At 43.4% G+C, this 12947-nt stretch overlaps 1 long non-coding RNA gene and 1 pseudogene across 1 annotated transcript in view, besides 1 other annotated feature; both read right to left on the bottom strand.

Annotated features, from left to right (window-relative positions):
• Nucleotides 1-12947, bottom strand: part of LOC105375683 (uncharacterized) — a 110442-nt gene that overhangs the window by 10786 nt on the left and 86709 nt on the right. The window lies entirely within an intron of this gene.
• Nucleotides 4888-5388: an enhancer, noted in NCBI's record as "H3K27ac hESC enhancer chr8:103518835-103519335 (GRCh37/hg19 assembly coordinates)". NCBI's record gives its function as "activates a minimal SCP1, AML or CMV promoter by ChIP-STARR-seq in primed H9 embryonic stem cells {active_cell/tissue: H9 hESC(primed)}" and the evidence as "EXISTENCE:reporter gene assay evidence [ECO:0000049][PMID:30033119]".
• RPS12P15 (ribosomal protein S12 pseudogene 15) lies at nt 7857-8240 on the bottom strand (annotated as a pseudogene).

The raw sequence follows: 12947 nt of genomic DNA, 5'->3' as shown, positions 1-12947 counted from the left end.
TGTGTGTAACTGCTGAAGCCCTAAAAAAATAAGCACAGCTTCTCACGAGCTCTCAGTTTGCCTCCTGAACTGTAATGTAAACAAGTCAGATCATTCTGGGAAACTTGAGACTTAGGGAGCCCAGCTTCTGCCAGTGTAAATGCCAGCATTCGGGTCCTTGGAATGAGCCTCCCTCAGCCTGGAGCAGGAAATTTAGAGAAACACGTTTGGTCTTGCAGAAGGACTGCTCTGTTTGCTCTCCCTGCAGGGACCATGCGGTGGGCAGACTTTGGTCAGGATGAACAGCTTGCTCAGGGCACTGGCAGCCTCCAACATTCCTTGCTGGAAGGCCTTGGGGATTCACCCAACCTCCCTAATGGGGACAGAGTCTTCCCATCCAGCGCCCAGGCAGTCCTCTTTTCCCTGCCTACCTTAGGCTGGGATTAAGATGGTTTTTTAAACTAAATTTCATTTATCTATCTATCTATCTATCTATCTATCTATCTATCTATCTATCTATCTATCTGAAGACAAGGTCTCATTCTGTCAGCCAGGCTGGAGTACAGTGGTATAATTATAGCTCACTGCAACCTCAAACTCCTTAGCTCAAGCAATCCTCCTGCCTCAGCCTCCCCAGTAGCTAGCACTACAGGCATGCACCAACATACCCGGATCTTTTTTTTTTTTTTTAAAGATGGGGGTCTTGGCCAGGTGCAGTGACTCACACCTGTAATCCCAGCACTTTGGGAGGCCGAGGCGGGTGTATCACCTGAGGACAGGAGTTTGAGACCAGCCTGGCCAACAGGGTGAAACTCTGTCTCTACTAAAAGTACAAAAATTAGCCGGGCCTGGTGGCCGGTGCCTGTAATCCCAGCTACTTAAGAGGCTGAGGCAGGAGAATCGCTTGAACCCGGGAGGAAGAGGTTGCAGTGAGCTGAGATGGCACCACTGCACTCCAGCCTGCGTGACAGAGCGAGACACAGTCTCAAAAAAAAAAAACAGATGGGGAGTCTCACTATGTTGGCCAGGCTGGTCTTAAACTCCTAGCCTCAAGCAATCCGCCTACCTCAGCCTCCCAAAATGCTGGGATTACAGGTGTGAGCCAGCGTTCCTGGCTCTAAACATTTTTTTTTTTTTTTAATCATTTTGGTCTGGAGACAGGATACGTCATTTAAAAAACCATTTTGGTATTTGGAGTTTATTAATTTCTTTCTATCAAATAAGGAAAAATAGAGAAAATTTAATTTTTTTTTTTACATAGAGTCTCACTCTGTGGCCCAGGCTGGAGTGCAGTGGCGCAATCTCAGCTCACTGCAACCTCCACCTCCTGGGTTCAAGCAATTCTCCTACCTCAGCCTCCCAAGTAGCTGAGATTACAGTTGCACGCCACCATGCCCAGCTAATTTTTGTATTTTTAGTAGAGAAGGGGTTTCACTATGTTGGCCAGACTGGTCTTGAACTCCTGACCTCAGGTGATCCGCCCATCTCGGCCTCCCAAAGTGTTGGGATTACAGGCATGAACCACAGTTCCTGGCCTTAATTTTAACTTTTAAAACAATTCTGATAATATTTAGGTCTGCTGCATCTTTTCTAGTTGATGCAAACATCTGTTGAGTTGGAGTGACGAACTGCCAGCACCCCCAGAGCACTGAGCTTCTCGTCAAGCAAGCTTGTTGGCAGGGCTGTGGCCAAAACACTAGGGGATGCATTTGACATTTAGAGGAAACTTAATCACTTCCAAAGACCCAAAGTCAGATGTAGCCTTAAATATTTTATACAAAAAATATTTGAAAAAATAGGTGACTTGGCAATAAATCACAGCATGGTACTCATTAAGGTTACTCGCTGACTCATTAAAGTTGAAATAATGATCCAGTTGTCAAGATATAGATACAGATATAGATATAGATACAGATATAGATAATTATTGTTGTTGTTGTTTTTAACCTGTTCTGTAACTTTGCCAGGGGGAATTGTTTGGGGGTTGGGTAAAACCAGAGGGACCCTAAAGCACAATGAGCTCAGTTCAAATCCAGAGAAGTGAGGGGCCATGGGACACTAACACAGGGCCCTCACTCCACTTATGTTGAAACAATTAAAAAAATTTTTTGAGACAGGGTCTTGCTTTGTCACCCAGCTTCAGATGCACTGGTGCAGTCACAGCTCACTATGGCCTGGAACTCCCAGGCTCAAGCAATTCTCCTGCCTCAGCCTCCCAAGTAACTGGGACTCCAGGTGTGCACCACCATGCCCAGCTAATTTTTTTTATTTTTTGTAGAGATGGGGTCTCGCTATGTTGCCCGGGCTGGTCTCAAACTCCTGGGCTCAAGCAGTCCTCCCACCTCAGCCTCCCAAAGTGCTGAGATTACAAGCGTGAGCCACTGCGCCAGACAAAATAAGAAAAATTAATGCCTCCATTCCTATAGCAATGTAACTCTCTTTAAAAATTCCACCTCTGCAGATGGGGGCGGATCTTTAAAAATTCCTTGTCTATAGACAGGCTTTGGCTCCTGGGCCTCCCCCGGAATCTCCTGCAGGAGTTCTTGTTCAGAAACCTTTGTGGCAAATGCACACAGCACTCGGGTGCCAGCTCTCCGGTGAAAACATCTCTATCCCAAAAAGACTATGCAGAGTGGCCCTCCTCTTGCCTTCATTTTGTTTACAGGCTCCATTCTGTTAAATTTGGAAGCCGTGGCAGACGTCAGTGACTCCTTTCTAGAGCTGTGGTTCTCAAACTCGAGCTTTAGAATCATCTGGAGGGTTTATTAAAACCTAGACAGCTAGCACCCCCACCCTGAGTTTCTAATTCTGTCACTCTGGTGTGAGGGCCCAGAATTTGCATCTCTAATCAGTTCCCAGGTGATGCTGATGCTGCCAGTTCTATGACCACTCTTGGAGAACCACTGGTCTACGCATTTCATTTAAAATATCCTCATTCCTCAGTTTGGGTCTGATCCCAGAATGTAGGCTCAAAGACAACCTTCTCTACACAATCATCATGGGAGGAAGGGGATGGAGCAGATGGTCCTATAGTTATCCAGTGAAACATACATGGAGTCCAGAGTTATGTATAAAACAACCCTTTCACGTACAGTTGAACATTCCCACCCGATAGACCGCAAAGGGGCCAAGAGTCTGGAGTTGCTCCTCTGCTCCTCTCTCAGCAGCTTGCCCTTCTTGGGTTTCTCTCACTAACAAGGGCTTCATTGTGACCCTCCGGCATCCAGGTGGCAGCTCCTTCCCTTTGGAGGAAGAGCCTTTTGCCCTGGACATTCTATCCTGTCCCCTTTCCCCACACAGCCCCTCTTTTGGTTCCTTTCTTCTGCTGAGCTGTGCATTGTTCCTTTGCATCTTGATAGTATGAGGCTTCAGGACCTGGGGTGTGAAAGACAGAAAAGGGGAGGAGAGGCCTCCGCCTTGTCTGCCCTCAGGATGTGGTGCTTACAAGAGAATCAGAACTTTCGCTCAGCCTCGTTAACAAGGCCGTGGCTATGTCTCATGGTATTATGCCAAAAGTCTCCCTCTGTCATCCTCTAAACTCAAGGACATGGGAGGAGAAGCAGTCCTGCCACTGCACAATAAGGGGTCAGTGCTGCTAACCTCTCTGGTAACACTGCCTTACCCTTTAAAGGTGGGTTTAATGCTGGGAATCTCTACTCAAGTAGCTGTGAAGATTTCAGACAGGGAGTTTTGTAATCTTCAGACCACACCTGCTCAGCAGCTCTTACCTTTACCTACAGCTGGAGGTGGCCCACACATGGGACATATTAACGCTGGTTAATATGCCATTCCCTAGCAGTGGTTCCCCAACCTGGCTGTCATTAGAGTCACCTGGGAAACACTTTTAAAAATGTATTTTTTTTAAATAGATTTAGGGGGCACAAATTTTGTGACATGGATATATTGCATAGTGGTGAAGTCTAGGCTTTTGTGTAACCATGACCCTAATAATGTACATTGTGCCCATTATGTAATTTCTCATTCTGCGCCCCCTCCCACCTTTCCAAGTCTCCAATGTCTATTATTTCACTCTCTAGGAGAAGCATTTTTAAAATGCATATTCTGAAAAATATGTACAACACAAAAGGCAAGGGTATATTTGTTTCCTTAATATATAAAGAGTACTTACAAATCAACAAGAAAAGCCTGTTAATTCAATAAAGAAAAAGGACAAAAGGTATGAATAGGCAGTTCACATACTCATAAAAATTCAAAATATTCGTAAACAGATAAAAATATAATTGTTATCACTCATTATTAAAGTCATGGACATTTAAAATGTTGAGGTACCATTTTCCACCTCCCAGATTGGCAAAAGTTAAAAAAATTCAGCAGTGCACTGTGTTGTACAGAATGTGGAGAAAGGACATGCTCCACGTGGGAGTGGATGTTGACATAACCTTTTTGCATGGCAGCTCATCAATATCTATCAAAATGCTACAGGCATCTTCCTTGGTCAGAGACAGCTAAAGGAATAAAAGCAACAAAACAAAACAAAACAAAAAATGCTACAGGCATATACCTTGGTCAGAGAAAGCTAAAGGACTAAAAACAACAAAATGAAACAAAAAATGCTGCAGACATGTTCCATTTGACCCAATGATTTCACTGCTCTGAGTTCACTGCAGTGATATCCTAATGCATGTATAAAAATGCATCTACAGGAAGTTCATAGCAGCATTGCTCATAATGGCACAACCCATACGCAACCTAAATGTTTATCAACAAGCAAGGGGTTAAATAAACTACACCATGGCTAGCCACTGAATCTCTATGCCACTGCAGAAAAGAATGATGTCTGCTATGGTCTAAATGTATTCCCTAAAATTCATGTGTTGAAATTTAAGGGCCCATGTAATAGTATTAAGAAGTGGGGCCATGGCTGGGCATGGTGGCTCATGCCTGTAATCCTAGCATTTTCAGAGGCCAAGGCGGGTGGATCACGAAGTCAAGAGATCACGACCAACCTGGCCAACATGGTGAAACCCTGTCTCTACTAAAAATACAAAAATTAGCTGGGCGTGGTGGCTCATGCCTGTAGTCCCAGCTGCTAAGGAGGCTGAGGCAGGAGAATCGCTTGAACCTGGAAGGTGGAGGTTGCAGTGAACTGAGATAATGCCACTGCACTCCAGCCTGGGGACAGAGTGAGACTCCATCTAAAAAAAAAAAAAAGGTGGGGCCTCTAGGAGGTCATGAGAACACACCCCTCTCATGGATGGGACTTGGGCCCTTGTAGAAGGGCTTGGGAAAGTGGATTTGTTCTCTTCTGCTCTTCCATGTTGGGACACAGCAACAAGGCACCATCTTGGAAGTGGAGAGAAGCCTTCACCAGACACTCAGCCTGCTGGTGCTTTGATCTTGGACTTCTCAGTCTCCAGAACTGTGAGAAAATAAATGTCTGTTCTTTATAAATTACCCAGTCTGGCCAGGCACAGTGGCTCATGCCTGTAATCCCAGCACTTTGGGAGGCCGAGGTGGGCGGATCACCAGGTCAAGAAATCGAGACCAACCTGGCCAACATGGTGAAACCCCATCTCTACTAAAAATACAAAAATTAGCTGAGTGTGGTGGTGCACGCCTGTAGTCCCAGCTACTCAGGAGGCTGAGGCAGGAGAATCACTTGAACCCGGGAGGCAGAGGCTGCAGTGAGCTGAGATCATGCCACTGCACTCCAGCCTGGGCAACAGAGCGAGACTCTATCTCAAAAAAAAAAAAAAAAAATTACCCAGTCTTGGGTATTTTGTTATAGCAGGACAAACAGACTAAGACAATGTTGATCTGTGATCATATAACAATCTCCAGGATGTGTTGTTAAGTGAAAACAAGGTTCAATACAGTGTTGGTAGAGTACTTTCATTTCTGTGAAAATATGGGTGATATGGACATATGTACATATATATGTATTCAGAAATATGTGTAGACCATTTATGGCAATAGGTTGCCTTTGAGCAGGAAGACTGACACGCTCTTACTTTTACCATTGATAGTACCTTTGCATTGTTTGAATTTATTTTTACCATGAGCATGTGTTATTTCATTGAATAATAATAATTTAAAATCATATTCTTGGGTTTTTCTAGACCCTCTGGGAGTAAGAGGCAAAAATATGTTTGTTAAAAAAAAAAAAAAAAAAAAAAAACTCCACTTGGGGAAATGGTTGATTCTAGGACTGGGACAGGGAATATACAAGATGATCCCGGAGCATCTTATAGTGCCAAAAAGAACGAAGCATCACAAAACCAAAAGGACAGGGTACGTTCAAGGGACACAGGAGCCAATCTGAAAGAGTTTTCCATGGCCAAAGCTGGACATTTCGAGCAATAAAATAAATAACATAGTGGTGAATTATAACCCAGAATATAAAATAAACATCTGTGAGCCCATATTGGTATACATAAATGACTGAATAAATAAAGGGGGAAGAAGAGGCACATCTCCCTTACAGAAGAATTCCAAGAATTCCAAACACTTTATGTAGACATTCCCTTCTCCAGAAAGGAAGGCTTAATTCCCACCTTCACCTTGACTGTGGGTTTCACTTTGTGACTCTCTTCCAAAGAATACAGTGCTGTGGGAGGGGATTGCTGGGGGAATGATTTTAGAGTGGAGAAAACTGGCAATCCTTTCCCTGGCCAGGTAGCCAAAGATTGGCAATCAAAGTTGGTAAGTTATGCTGATAGTGTCTATCTTTGATATGACGTGATAAGAAGGCTACTTCACCTTTGCAGTATTCTTCCCTAAATCCATAACCTCAGTCTGATCATGAGAAAAACATCAGATAAACCCAAATTGAAGGACATTGTACAAGATACCCAAAAAGTACTTTTCAAAACTATCAAGGGCCAGGTGCAGTGGCTCACGCCTGTAATCCCAGCACTTCGGGAGGCCAAGGCGGGTAGATCACCGGAGGTCAGGAGTTCGAGACCAGCCTGGTCAACATGGCAAAACCCCATCTCTACTAAAAATACAAAAAATTAGCTGGGCGTGGTGGCGCATGCCTGTAGTCCCAGCTACGGGGAACACTGAGGCAGGAGAATCACTTGAACCTGGGAGGCAGAGATTGCAGTGAGCCAAGATCGCTCCATTGTACTTCAGCCTGGGTGACAAAACAAAACAAAACAAAAACAAAAACAAAACAAAACAAAAACGATCAAGGCTATGAAAAACAAGAAAACTCCACAAAACTGTCACAGACCAGAGGAGACCAAACAGACATGATGACTAGATGTGATATGGTACTCCAGATGGGATCCTGGAATGAGAAAAGAATATTAGTAGAAAAACTAGTGAAATCCAAATAAAGTATAGAGTTTAGTTAATAATTAGAAACAAAACCCCAGGCAGTTCTTATGTAGCCAGCTTGGCTCCAGGCTGCCATGAAGCACTTAGAGGCCCTTTAATAGCGTGGAGGTTCTCAAAGTTAAGCGTGCAATAGAACCCCCAGAGAGTTGCTAGTCCTGTAGATCCCATGATGGGCATTCTGATTAAGTAGGTCCATGGCAGGCTTGTGAATATGCTTTATTATTATTATTATTTTAAAGACATGGTTTCATTCTGTCACCCAGCCTGGAATGGAGTGGCACAATCTCGGCTGACTGCATCCTTCGCCTCCCGTGCTCAATCTATCCTCCCACCTCAGCCTCCCGAGTAGCTAGGACTACAGGCACACACCACCATGCCCGACTAAATTTTTTTGTATTTTTTTTGTAAAAATGGGGTTTCATCATGTTGATCAGGCTGGTTTCCAACTCCTAGGCTCAAGTGATCTGCCTACCTGGCCCTCCCAAAGTGCTAGGGTTATAGGCATGAACCATTGCACCCAGCCTGCTTTTTTTAAACAAAAACAAGAGCCAAGTTTTTATTTGCTTATCTCTTGCTTTGGAAGTACAGTACTCTTTGATGACATTCTTGGCCTTAGATTATTTGCCATAGCCCTTAACTACACCAGAACTGCAACCAACCACATTACTGGGCTTTCCCTCTCTGTCAATTTCACCAAGGCCTACCCAGTCTCAGTTTCTTGATGTCATCAGCTTATTTGGGTGGATTTGGTGTTCAGCACGGAGGGCCTCCACCAGCTTGAAATCCACAGGCCATCACGGTGGGATGCAAGCACACAGAGGTGGACGTGGCACTTGTCTAAGACAGACAGCTTTCAGAATTACATATGCTAGGCCATTATGGATGAGAGTGGTCAGCACCTCTTGTAAAGCAGTATTAATGCCCACGATGCCTCCAATAGCAATGCCCCCCTCAGCCACGGCAGCTGAATCTTCAATGCACCCAAGCCCTCGCCTCCCACAACTGGGTAGCTGAAGGGGGGTAATGGATATACATTTTTAATATGAACTACTAGGGCTTCTGAAATGTCACATTTTGGACACACTGCACTGGAAACCAAAATCTGATATTCTACTCATAATTACTATGTCTATCAATAAGATGTGAGTTCTATTGGAACAAAAATCTTCTGAAGATAGAAAGATCACGAACTTCCATTCATTATGTAACACCTCTAGTCTATTTGGGGCACTCAATGAGTTTCTTGATAGAATTCTTACCACCACTTGACATGTGATAAGTGTGAAATGAATAAATACTGAAAATAAGAAATTAATAGGAAACCTGTGGACACATCATCTCTTCTCATTATCCTGACCTAGTATAACCAGAAGAGGCTATTTCTTCTGGTGCTTAATTCACATTTAGATTATATTCTTTTGTTTTTCCATACAGGCACAATGCAAATAATCATGAATTTCTTTGCAGAATTAGAGCCATCTCAGGGCATGGTGTACTTCTTCCAGAGCATCTTGTGTGCCCCTTCATGTTATCCCCACTCACGGTCACTCTTCTTGGGACTCTCTTGTCAAACCAATCCCCACCCCCATGCCCCAAACACACACACCTACTTAATTTCTACTCTAGTCTTAGCTTCACGATCATTTCCTTGTCTTGCCTCTGTCACTGGTAAGGACCTCTCCAACATCCTCCCAGAGCACCCTGCCCTTTTCAGTTATAATTCCCAGCACCTACATTCTGCATCTTCTTATCCCCACTAAACTAAGCTTTATGATGACAGGAACTGTGTCTGTCATGTCTCCTGGTCCATCTCTAGCTGTGGCATGGCTTGTGGCAGACAATAGGTGCTAAATATTTGCTAAAAGAATGTTGAATGAATTCATCAGAGATTCCTCAATTAGAGTGCATTTGGACATAAACCTATCAATAACCTAAGCAGCATTCTAAAATCCTCAACAATTGGGATAGCTGTGCTATCCTTTTGATTTACAGCCCATTTTAATGGTCAGCTCATTGTCACCAAGAGTGGCTTCTTTGAGCTGCAGATAGCAGAGTTACCTGTGAAATTCTGTCATGAGACTGAATGGGAATAAGACTCTGATGCGGGGGGTTGGAGGGAGGCAAAAGGGAATTTCAATGGCTGGGACATCCAATTTTATTAATCTGTCATCAGCATGCACAGACATTGCAGTGAAGAAAGCAGAGGCTGTGGCACTGTGGAAACTCCAACCAAATCAGAGATGTCAGAATAAAACATATAACTTTGGCAGTAAATTGTGAGGTGATGGATTGGTCATTAAGACAACCAAAGCTGACCAATAATGCATTAAGTCTATTGAGCACTTTCTACACGCAAGACACTGAAAGACACAGAGATGAACTAAATATGTCTCTGAACTCAAGAAGCAGTCATCTAGACAGGAGGTAAAAACCACAGTTAAAAGGCATGTGAAGCCGGCTAGGTGCAGAGGCTCACACCTGTAATCTCAGCACTTTGGGAGGCTGAGGTGGGAGGATCCCTTGAGCCCAGGCAACAAAGTGAGACCCCCCCCCCCATCAGACCCCCATCTCTACAAAAAAATACAAAAAATTAGCCAGGTGTGGTGGTGCACGCCTGTGGTCGCAGCTACTCAGGAGGCTGAAGTGGGAGGATCTCTTGATCCTGGAAGGTGGAGGCTGCAGTGAGCCGAGATTGTGCCACTGCACTCCAACATAGAGTGGTGATAAGATAAAAATCTGATCAGTGTACCGATCATTCAATCAATAAAATGTACTTGGCAACAGAGCAAGACCCTGTCTCAAAAAAAAAAAAAAAAAAAGGCCTGAGACGTGAAGGTTGAGCATTCTGAGTGATTCGTTGCAGCTGCAGGAAAATGGGAAGGCTGGGTGGAATATGTAGCACTTCAGTTGGAACTTAAAAGATTATTAAACAATAATATAATTATTGTTATTAATTGAGCCCAGGAGTTCAAGGTTTTGTGATAAGCCCTGATTGTGCCACTGCAGTCTAATCTGAGTGACACAGTGAGACCTTGTCTCTAAAAAAAATTTTTTTAATTTAAAAAATAAAAACAGGCTGAGTACGGTGTCTCACTCCTGTAATTTCAGCTAGGAGGCTGAGGTGGGTGGATGGCTTGAGTCCAGATGTTTAAGACCAGACTGGGCAACATGGCAAAACCCCATCTTTAAAAAAATACAAAAAAATAAGGCAGGCATGGTGGCATACAGGTAGTCCCAGCTACTCAGGAGGCTGAGGTGGGAGGATGGCTTGAGCCTGGGGGTCATGGCTGCAGTCCCGTGATTGCACCACTGAACTCAGTCTGGGTGACAGAGTGGATGAGAGATAAGCTTGCTTTTGAAGAGGTGGTTACAGCCCAGAGGGAAAGATACACGTCAACTAATCATTACATGCAGAGGGGAGCGGCTATGGAGATGTGCGCCAAGTGTTACAGGAACACAGTAGGAGGACAGCTAATGGGCAGGAAAGGTTAAAGGAAACTCTCACATAAGAGGTGATATTGAAGGTTGAGAGCAGCCAAGAAGTGTTTTCCTGCAGAATAAGAGAAGTTCCTGCAGGCAATCGGAACACCATGGACACAGGTTCAGAAGCACAAAACAGCATGACAAAGAATAGGAGTTCTCTCAGTCACTCTTTGGCCTCCGGAAGAGACAAACAGATTCCCACACAAAAATTTCATATAAGATATGGAAAAAATTGATCAGAATAATATTCTATGTAGGCTGGGTGTGGTGGCTCATGCCTGTAATCCCACCACTTTGGGAGGCCAAGGTAGGCAGATCATTTGAGGTCACAAGTTCGAGACCAGCCTGGCCAATATGGTGAAACCTTGTCTCTACTAAAAATACAAAAATTAGCTGGGCATGGTGGCAGGCACCTGTAGTCCCAGCTACTCAGGAGGCTGAGGCACCAGAATCACTTGAACCTGGTAGGCAGAGGTTGCAGTGAGCTGAGATGTTGCCACTGTACTCCAGCCTGGGCAACAGAGCAAGACTCCATCTCAATAATAATAATAATAACAACAATGTTGTTATATATACAATAAAATTTAGATAGTAATTGTAAGTCTGTTCTAATATTTAGAACAAAAACCAAAGTCAGTGTTGATTTAGGGTTTGAGGTCTACTTTTTCTAAAAACTTGTCCAGTAGCACATTTGACAAATATGTTGAAGTATTAGTTTTTTCTCAATGGCCTCCCTTAACCTATGATTGTTAAATGCTTCTCTTTTGAAGATCCTATTATGTTCTCATTCTTGTCAATTTATTCCTCTTTAATTGTTATCTGATTAACTCCATGTTTGCTTATGATTCTAGCAATTCTACAACATCACTTTCATCAGCTGCATGAAACTTGCACGAAGGTTATTCAAAGTATGATTACTTTTGTGTCTCAAACTAACCAGAGACCCTTGGATGAGACCAGCTGAAGAACTGCCTGCAGCTGAGTATGAGAGTGTGAGGCAGGGAGCAGTGGACAAATGCTGACATTTACCAGCTAGAGGCCTTCACAAAGTAACTCCAACTTTCTGACCTTCAGATTCCTCATCTACCTTGAGGAAATTGTTTCAAGAGTTCAAGTAAATTGCACACATGGCCGGTGCAGTGGCTTGTATCTGTAATCCCAGCAACTTGGGAGGCTGAAGTGGGAGGATCACTTGAGGCCGCCTGTTAGAGACCAGCCTGGGCAACATAGAGATACCCTATCTCTTTTAAAAATTTGTTTTTAATTAGCCAGGTGTGGTGGTACACACCCATAGTCCCAGCTACTCAGAAGGCTGGGGAAGGTGGATCACTTGAGCCCAGGGGTTCTAGCTTTCAGTGAGCTATGATGCTTGTGCCACTGCACTCCAGCCTGGGTGACAGAGTGAGACCCCATCACTAAAATAATAAAATTAACTGCACAGTGAAAACACCTAACATTGTGCCAGGAATATGACTATCCCTCAGTAAACAGCCACATTCTTCCTCCACAATGCCTTAGATATCCTGGAGTACATTTTATTGATTGAATGATTGGTACACTGATCAGATTTTTATCTTATCACCACTCTGTTAAAGAAACGCCAGGCCTGATAGATAAACTTGTGTCCTGCAGAGGAATAAAGGGAGGAAACATTTGACAATTTTCAAGATAGAGGTGCCCAAAAAGCTAGTTTCCCACTGAGTAGAGATAAAAGGAGAACAGGAGTGCAAGATATTACATATGCTGAGGATGATTTTGCCAAGACTAAACAGAGCTGGCATCCGCAAGACATGCAAAGATTTTTTAATCAAGGGCCATGGGATTCTGGAATCCAGCCCTTCCTACATATTGTTCATTCTAGAAAAATAAATAAATTAGATAATGAAACAGGAGAATCACCATGCCTCGATGCAATCTTAAAACTGAATTTATAAATAAAAATTAGAAATGAAGCACACCCTGGACCCTTCTGAGAAATTATCGACAAATATGAGATTTGACTGACAGCTCATCTGAAATGCAATTTTCCTATCTATTGTTCTCTCAAATCATTTCTGAATTCATATTTTAATGTATTTGTTTTTGGAATGTTTTATTTCCCTCAAGAATTAAGGAATTCTTTAAAAAGAATCATATGTAAAAATTAGCTGAGTGGTTTGCCATCATTTACAGTGAAAATTTAC

The sequence above is a fragment of the Homo sapiens genome, chromosome 8, assembly GCF_000001405.40.
Source record: "Homo sapiens chromosome 8, GRCh38.p14 Primary Assembly".
NCBI lineage: Eukaryota > Metazoa > Chordata > Mammalia > Primates > Hominidae > Homo > Homo sapiens.
The sequence above is the reverse complement of the archived record's forward strand: the minus strand, read 5'-3'. Positions and strand labels throughout refer to the sequence as shown.